The sequence below is a fragment of the Homo sapiens genome, chromosome 13 (assembly GCF_000001405.40).
Source record: "Homo sapiens chromosome 13, GRCh38.p14 Primary Assembly".
NCBI classification, from domain to species: domain Eukaryota; kingdom Metazoa; phylum Chordata; class Mammalia; order Primates; family Hominidae; genus Homo; species Homo sapiens.
Window position 1 is genome coordinate 27034826 of NC_000013.11, and position 9022 is coordinate 27043847.

Sequence of the window (9022 nt, forward strand, 5' to 3'; positions counted from 1 at the left end):
CTAGGATATGTGGGCACTCCGCGCCCCAGTCAAGCTGACACCTAAAATTCAGCCTCACGAGTGGGCAGGAAGAGGAGCATCTGTAAAGCAAACTGGGAAGGAGCGGCTGGGGGAAGAGAGGGAGAATCAGGAGGAGGTGTCGTGAGGAAAGGGAGAGAGGGGAGCGCTGCAGCCAGGAAGGAGTGGCCGCTCTCGAATCCTCCGAGAAGGCGAGCGGGACAGGGACAGAGGCGGACGCTGGGTTCAGTTATGAGCTGATGGGTGACCGGGCCGTGCTGATGGGGGCAGAATGCAAATGGCAGCGGGCTGTGAAGTGGACGCACCCAAGTTCTTGCTAGAAATTTAGTGGCACAGGAAGGAAGCACAGAGAAGAGGGAGGAAGCCCCCCAGGAAGAGAGCTTTTGTCTGTTTCTTTTTCACGGGAGACGTGAGACAGTAAGTGCTGATGGGAGGACCCGATGGGGAATAAGAAAAGCTGGAGCAGAGAGAGGAGAAGGGCCCCTCAGTATGCCCAAGCCTGGGACAGGCAGGGCCACCTTTGCCTTCCTCACGATTTAGAAAGGGGAAAGAATAGAGAGAAACACAGGGGAAGCTGTGGGATTTGATAGTGGGAGCCCAAGGACATTCTTGTCTGGCCAATTGTCATTGTCCCTGTGTCCCACATGAACCAGGACAGCTCCCACACTGGCGCCACTTCCCAGCAGTGCGATGTCAGGCAAGCAAGCAATTCAGCCTCTCTCTGCCTCTGTTTCTCCAGCTCAAATATGGAGCTAATGATACCAACCTCAGCGGGTCCTTGTGAGGATTAGTTGAAATGCTGAATTTAAGAATGTTTGCTACTGCATCTAGTAATTATTATCGTTAGCACTATTATTAGTTTAATTATCCTTCCTTGTTAAGAATCAATTATAAACCATTCTTTCAGTCTTCCTGTTTTTTTTTTCTTTTGTAGAACCAAAAAAGGCATGGAAAATCTTTCCCGGTTGTCATCGCCTCAGCCTGGAGGGTCAGCTAGTGCCTGTCCATCCCTGCAGGGCAGCTGCCTCTCACTAGGAGGAGAATGCTGGGTTTTGCACCTGGGAAGTCTCAGAAGGTGGGACATTCGTTGGCTAAGTAGAAAGCTGAGCAGATCTCAGCTCTCTCTCTGTTGAGTGCCCAAGCACACATAGAACTACACACGTGGTATCTCAGCAGTAAGGCCTGACAGCAAGGCAAGGGGGGACAGGCGGGAGGTGAGTCATGATCCTGCGTGTGCGTTGGTGCTCATTCTGACCCGCGCACCGAGATGGAAGCTGTGACACAGGAGGCTGTGTCAGCGCCATCCCAGCTCTGCAAGTACATCCAAATTCCAGGTTCCCGCCTCACCTCTCTGGTCTACCTAAGAGTTCACAGCGCAGTTGCAGTGCTCTGGGTTCCTGCCTGCTTCATGGTACCAGCCCATGCCCTTCTGTGATCCACACGCGTCCGGGACCTCATGCCCAGCCCCCAAGACATCCAGTGCAGAGGCACAGCCAATGAATCACCCTGCTGTCATACCTGCCTTCCCATTTTCAAAGATCCTTTTCTAAAAATACTATCAATGAATGCACTGTGGCATGGAAACAGAAGACAGCCGACTTAAAAACTGAATCTCCGGGCTTGGAACTTCCCCTAAATCATATTCTGGCAAAACATCTACAAAGCCCAAACACATTCTTGACCTTTGAAGAAAATGTCAGTGTGGAGCAAAGGCCTGTGTTCTGACCCCACCCAGCTACAAGAATTTCCTCCCTCCTGCCCGCACATCTTCAAAGAGTCCCTGAGATTCCAGGCTGGTTGCTACTTCCCCAGGGGAGCATTGCATGCATCTTTTCCATGTCCTGGAGGTCCAGAGGGGCTTTATAAAGTGGCCCCAACCCAGCAGCATCTGGGGCTGTGCTCCTGTTCTGTGCTCTAGGGGAAATGGAAGCAGGAGTCAGATTTGTCTTGGAGGATTCCTGTTCATCAGCAGGAGTTCTGAGTTACATGCCGAAAAGCAGACTACATTTTTTGCATTGCAGAGTGCTTCTGAAAAACACCATTCTAGAAAGGGGGATCATACATCCCAGTTTGCCTAAGACAGTTCTGGTTTACAGCTGTTATTCCTGTATACGTATTAATAGCACCTCTTTTACTCTCAAAAGCATCCCACTTTGGCAATAAAATTCCACTTCCCAGTCCTAGTCTTCCCATGACTGGATGGTGGCTGTTAAAGCCTTGGCCTCTAGAAGCGCCCCGGCAACTGGCACTTAGCTTATCTCTGAATTGTCTGCCGGAGTGAAGCTTAATTAAGATCTTGTTAGTTTGGGGAGAAAGAATCAAGGACATTTGGCAGCACATCCCTCACTTTATGTCACCCCTAAGTGAGATCCCCAGCCAGCTTCAGGGGGGCATTTTCCTGTCACCAGCCTTCTTGGTTCTCAGGAGCAGAGTTATCCTGTAGCAAGAAATGTTCACATCAGAGGTTTCCGACTTGCACAGAGAAGAGTCCGAGGAAGTGGGGAGACCTCCCTTGCTCACCCTCCCCTACTAACTGGCCAAAGCCTTCCTGGCCACCGCAGGACCTCAGAGTGCATCTCTGGCCTTTCAAACACAGTGTTATCTACTGTCCATAAACAGCGACCAAGAAACTCAAAAAGAAGAACCAGAACAGCCCAATGCCTGCACAGAGCAGTGCTCAATTAATACTTGTTGACTGATTGACTAATACATACATGAATGAAAGAACAACAAAATTGACAAATATCTGGCCCTCTGTGTGAGCTGAGAGGAAGCACATCATTCTAACACAGCACCTGAGAGCATTCTCACACCCAGAGCTCAAGGAAAATCAACACGCAAGGAAAAAATTCAGGGAGGGAGGCACCAGCCACCAACTCCCCTGGGGTGGCGGGTGAGCATGTGGAGAGGCCACAGCTGTGCACAGCTGGGTCTCTGTTGCTCAGCTTCTGGGAACCGGCAGGTGCACGTGGCTGTCCTCAAGGTTTTGCTCCACCTCCTGTGCCTCATTCCAGTTCCCTTGAGGGAGAGAACTGAGGACACTTCTGTATCCCTGAGCCTGGAGGAATTATAATAAGATGCCATCTCCGAAGAGAAGGGAGAGGGGCCAAGACCTCACTGGGGAGCAACCTTGCTCCTCTCTCCAACCTTCTATGGCTCACACTTACCAACTTTGCTCTTCTGTGGTCTCTTTTTCCCAAGATCCTGTTACAAATACAACATAGGCTTAAAAGCAAAAGGCATTAGCAGAGATCATTTGGGTCACTTCTTAATGATACGAAGATACCATTTGGTGAGTTTTCTACACGGGGCTCTTGCTCAGTGTTGGCAGTGCACAGTGCTCTTAGGGACATTTTTGAATGTAAGCCAAAAGTGTTTTTGAATATGCTCAATTCACCAAAAGATATAATTTTATGTATTAATAACATAGCTTCAAAATATATAAAGCAAAAAAATGACAAAACTAAAATGATAAATAGACAAACCCATGAAGATTTGGACAACCCAATTTATCCCTTTGGAAAAGAGTGGCATTATGTTTAAAATTATGGATATGGAAATCCAGAACTTCCAATTCTAGGTGCAGACTATAGAGAAACTTGAGCACGTGTGCACAGTGACTCACCCTCAGAAATATTCATCACAGCCTTGTCCACTGCTAACAACCCATTCCACAGCCAATTTTCCATTTACAGGGAAGTGAATAAGTAGTTGTGGCAGATTCATACAAGAAAATGCTATACCGCAATGAAAACTCAGTGAACTTAAGCCACACATATAGATGCATCTCAAAAAGCAATGTTGAAGGAAAGAAGCAAGATAAAAGCACCCAGGCCGGGCACGGTGGCTCACGCCTGTAATCCCAACACTTTGGGAGGCCAAGGTGGGTGGATTATTTGAGGTCAGGAGTTCGAGATCAGCCTGGCCAACATGGTGAAACCCCACCTCTACTAAAAATACAAAAATTAGCCAGGCATGGTGGCGGGCGTCTATAATCCCAGCTTCTCAGGAGTCTGAGGCAGGAGAATTGCTTGAACCCAGGAGGTGGACGTTATAATGAGCCAAGATTGCGCCACTGCACTCCAGCCTGGGAGACAGAGTGAGACTCCATCTCAAAAAAAAAAAAAAAAAAAAAAAAAAAAAAAGAATCCATAGAGTATGATTCCGTTTCTATAGAGCTGAAAAACAGCCAAAGCTAAAGTGCATTGTTTAAGAATACATACATAAGCGATCAGACTATAAAGGAAAGAAAAGAGATGACCATCCTAAAAGCTAGGAGGATGATGACTCTGCAAGGAGGAAGGGTTTGGCCGGGGAGACACACCCAGGGGCTTCCAGGGTGCAAGTTCTAGTCTAGTTCCTGACCTAAGGAGTATTACCCAGGTGTCCACATCATAATTCTTCATTCAACTGGACACACACTTTTACGCAAGTTTATGTATGTGAGGCGTATTTACCAATAAAAACAATGTTATCAAAAATGTGGGAAAGGCTGGGGCCAACGGGGTCGAGTGCCCCTGGCTGGGACTGTCCTGCCCAGAGAAGCTCTGCCTCTCTTCTCTCCCTCCACCTGCTGAGAGGCAAGGGAGCCTCCGGTCTCCCCATCTATGGGGGTCTCCCCTACCCCCAGGTGGTCTAGGTAGCAGCTGGTCCAGACCTGCCATGTCTCAGGTCCTGGGGTGAAGGCTCCCAGCCCCTGGCTCTTCCTGGTGGGCAGCTTCTTCCCAGATAGGCTTTTCCTCCCACGGAAAGATGTATGCGTGGGCTTGGGGGAACAGCCACGTGACTTGGTCCTGGGCCCCCAGCCTGCCCAATAAAGAGGCATTCTCAACACGGTCCACATTAGCTTATCAGGATCCAAAGCAGACATTTGCCTTGACCTCCATGTCTTGAGGACATCAAGGGGAGAGAGGGCTGTAACAGGGCAAGATTCAGACACTCAGGCTCTTCAACCCTGTGGCATTGTCTGTTCCCAAAGCCCAGTCCCAAAGGTGGAGGCAAACAGGGCAAAATATTAGAGCCAGGCCTTTGGGGTAAAATCCCCCGACCATGCTCCTTCCATTCCTCAGCCAGAACTATTTGGTCCCTAAAAGTGAGCTGGAGCTGAGGCATTTCCCGTCCACCCGGGGGTCCCAGCCATGTTCCTAGGCTTCCAGGAAACACTTTTTCTCCAGATAGATTGCTGACACCTGTACATAAAATAGACTCCCATAAACAGGCATTTTCCAAAAGCTTTTAAACCGCAGAGCGTTTACTTAAAGCCTGAGAAAATAAGCCTTAGGCTCATTTTCCTCCAACAAGGAGCTCAGCTGCTGCATTCTCCAACAGTGACTGCCAAAATTGGGCAGGAGAGGCCCAGGGCGCAGGCCCGTGCTCCCTGACGCTCCGCAGGCCCGACCACAGGCTCCCCAGAGCTCCCTGGCCCGAGTCAGGTCTGCCCCAGAGACTAACAAAAAGCAGGCTTCGGCCAGGCGCGGTGGCTGATGCCTGTAACCCTAGCACTTTGGGAGCTACTCAGGAGGCTGCGGCAGAAAAATTGCTTGAACCCGGGAGGCGGAGCTTGCGGTGAGCCAAGATCGCACCACCGCACTCCAGCCTGGGCGACAGAGCGAGACGCCGTCTCCAAAAAAAAAAAAAAAAAAAAAAAAAAAAAAAAAAAAAAAAAAAAAAAAAAAATCTCCTTACTCTGCTCTCCTCACTAGAGGGAAAAGAAAGCCACAGGGCAGAAGACAGGAAGGAGACAGCGCCCAACACTTCTCAGGTCGGGAAAATGGCTTTTAACAGTGAAATCAAGCTCTGCTTTCTCTTGTGGAAGTAAATGGAGCTAACTCCACCTTCAACTTCCGTGTAGGAGAGGTGGCCAGGCCTGTGTCCAGCGGGGTGCAGCTAGCTGGGCCCAACAGCGGGGAGGCGGGTCCCTCTCCCCAGTCACAACTAGGGCCTCCCTCCTCCCTGATAACATCCTCCCTGCGCCCCATTTCGTCCCTCCTGCCTTTCCATTCCAGCTACTGCAAAGGGCGAGGACTGTGGGTCTCACCTCCTTTCCTTCCCGCCTCCTCCAGCCCTGCAGCCTCCTTCTGTCTGCATGGTCCTTGGAAGCTTCTGCCTCCAGGGCACCTTTTGGGGTTGGATGCTCCCACCCACACTCCGCACCTGGACAGTCTCCCACTGTCCTTTCCAGGAAGTCCTGGACCCTACACTGGTCCTTCTCTGTTCCCTTTGTGACTTTTTGCTTCCACTCTTGCCCCGCTCCAGTCAGTTCTCCATACAGCATCCTGGGTGACCTTTGAAAATAAAACAGACCTGACCTGGCCAGTCTCCTCCGCAGAACACCCCAGGGCTCTCCATGGCTTTCAGGATGACAGCCAAAGTCCTCGCCAGGATCCCCAAGGCCTGAGCCATCTGCCCTGCAGTCTCCCTGCTCTCAACCCTGCTCTTGACCTCCCATCGGCCCCTCCAGGCAGGCTGCCCCCTGGCTCTTCCTGAAATGCATCAGCCCAGGCCCAACTCGGGGCTTCCCCTCAGAGGTCCTTCTGCCCCATATCTCGGCCTAGCTCCCCAGCCCTCACTTGATTTCCATCTCTGCTCCAATGCTTCCTCTTTAGAGAGATGCTCACCACATCAGCCTCTTCACCCATCACTGTCTCTCCACCTACCTGCACAGGGCATCCACGTGCATGATGCAATGTATCACATATGACAGAGTACATATTTGTCTGCTGCGGGCTCCTTCCCTAGAATGGAAATCCTAAGAGGGCAGGGGCCTTGTTGGTTTCATTCATTTCTGCATTCCCAGAACGTAGAATACCAACACATAGCAGACACCCAATAAAATAGGCATCGGATGAATGAATCAATGATAAAAAAATTATATAAATAGTTTAAACATTTTATTTTAACTTAAAACACACATATGGAAATTCACTTGCCAGTATTTTGAGTGGGGCCAAAGCCTTTCTTTGAGTGTGGTGCCTCCACTAGGGAGCTTGCCCCCTTTTTTGCATAAATTCCACCTAGAAAGCATTCGCCACAATTTCAAATGTTAATGTCTTTTTTTTTTTTTTTTTTTTTTTTGAGATGGAGTCTCACTCTGTCGACCAGGCTGGAGCTCAGTGGCATGATCTTGGCTCACTGCAACTTCCACCTCCTGGGTTCAAGCGATTCTCCTGCCTCAGCCTCCCGAGTAGCTGGGACTGCAGGCACGCACCACTACACCTGGCTAATTTTTGTGTTTTTAGTAGAGACGGGGTTTCACCATGTCTCGAACTCCTGACCTTAGGTGATCCACACACCTCAGTCTCCCAAAGTGCTGGGATTACAGGCATGAACCACTGCCAAATGTAAATTTCTTTTCTTTTCTTTTCTTTTCTTTTTTTTTTTTTTGAGATGGAGTCTCACTCTGTCGCCCAGGCTGGAGTGCAGTGGCACGATCTCGGCTCACTGCAACCTCCACCTCCTGGGTTCAAGTGATTCTCCTGCCTCAGCCTCCTGAGTAGCTGGTACTACAGGCACGCACCACTACACCTGGCTAATTTTTGTATTTTTGGTAAAGACGGGGTTTCACCATGTCTCAAACTCCTGACCTTAGGTGATCCGCACACCTCAGCCTGGCAAAGTGCTGGGATTACAGGCATGACGGCATGAACCACTGCCAAATGCTAATTTCTTTTTTCTTTTTCTTTTCTTTTTTTTTTTTTTTTTTTTTTTGAGATGGAGTCTCGCTCTGTTGCCCAGGCTGGAGTGCAGTGGCACAATCTCGGCCCACTACAACCTCTGCCTCCCGGGTTCAAGCGATTCTTCTGCCTCAGCCTCCCGAGTAGTTGGGATCACAGGTACGCGCCACCACACCCGGCTAATTTTTGTATTTTTAGTAGAGATGGGGTTTCACCATATTGGCCAGGCTGGTTTCGAACTCCTGATCTTGTGATCCGTCTGCCTTAGTCTCCCAAAGTGCTGGGATTACAGGCGTGAGCCACCGTGCCCAGCCCAAATGTTAATTTCTTTAAAGAAGCATCATAAGATCTTAAAGACTCATGAAAAGCAATTTCAGCACAGAGGCCTTCCTTATTTTCATTATATTCCCCTAATCTTCCGTACACTTAATTGAAAGCAAATGTTTAAGTCAATTTGCCCTTAGTGAGTCTTTCTAAATCATTCAACTTAGTTTTCAAGAAACAACTTTCTTTTTGTGCTCATTATATTGGTTTACATAATTTGCTTACATAATCTGTAATTAAATGACTGAATCACAATAACATGTATTACAGGCATAAGCTGATGTAGGGACAAACACCACTCAACTCAAAAGCGTGCAGCTGAGCAGGAAAACTGCCTGTGGTCACCGGGCCATGGGGATCTGCTGGCACATTTGCTCCATGAGTCAGCTTAGAAGAGGTTGGATGACAGAGCTGGTTCTGTAGTATGCAAATCCTGGATACAGGCACATGCTCATTCTGATGCGGACTGGCATGCCACCCACAGAAAAGAATAGGAAAAGCAAAATTAGAGCGCGAAATGCGACAAGGATCCAAACAAGAAATTTCCCTCAGCCTTTCCCAGCCAAGGAAAATTCCTGCATGAGAAGGAACTGAAGTAAATATAAGGAAGGAAGGAACTGAAGTAAATATAAGGAAGGAAGGAACTGAAGTAAATATAAGGAGGGAAGGAACTGAAGTAAATATAAGGAGGGAAGGAACTGAAGTAAATATAAGGAAGGAACTGAGTAAATATAAGGAAGGAAGGAACTGAAGTAAATATAAGGAAGGAACTGAAGTAAATATAAGGAAGGAAGGAACTGAAGTAAATATAAGAGCCACAGTGAATGTCGGGTTTCTAGACATAGAATTGGCCTGTATCATTAGTAAGCTGAACTTGGTTTTCATTTTTTTTTTTTTCTGTCCCCCAGGCTGGAGTGCAGTGGCATGATCTCGGCTCACTGCAACCTCCGCCTCCTGGGTTCAGGCAGTTTTCCTGCCTCAGCCTCCCAAGTAGCTGAGATTACAGG

General features: G+C 48.7%; 1 annotated feature.

The window, feature by feature from the left end:
* Positions 972 to 2171: an enhancer, noted in NCBI's record as "CDK7 strongly-dependent group 2 enhancer chr13:27609934-27611133 (GRCh37/hg19 assembly coordinates)". NCBI's record gives its function as "activates an origin of replication core promoter dependent on BRD2, BRD4, P300/CBP, MED14 and CDK7 cofactors, with strong dependence on CDK7, by STARR-seq in HCT116 cells {active_cell/tissue: HCT116}" and the evidence as "EXISTENCE:reporter gene assay evidence [ECO:0000049][PMID:35650434]".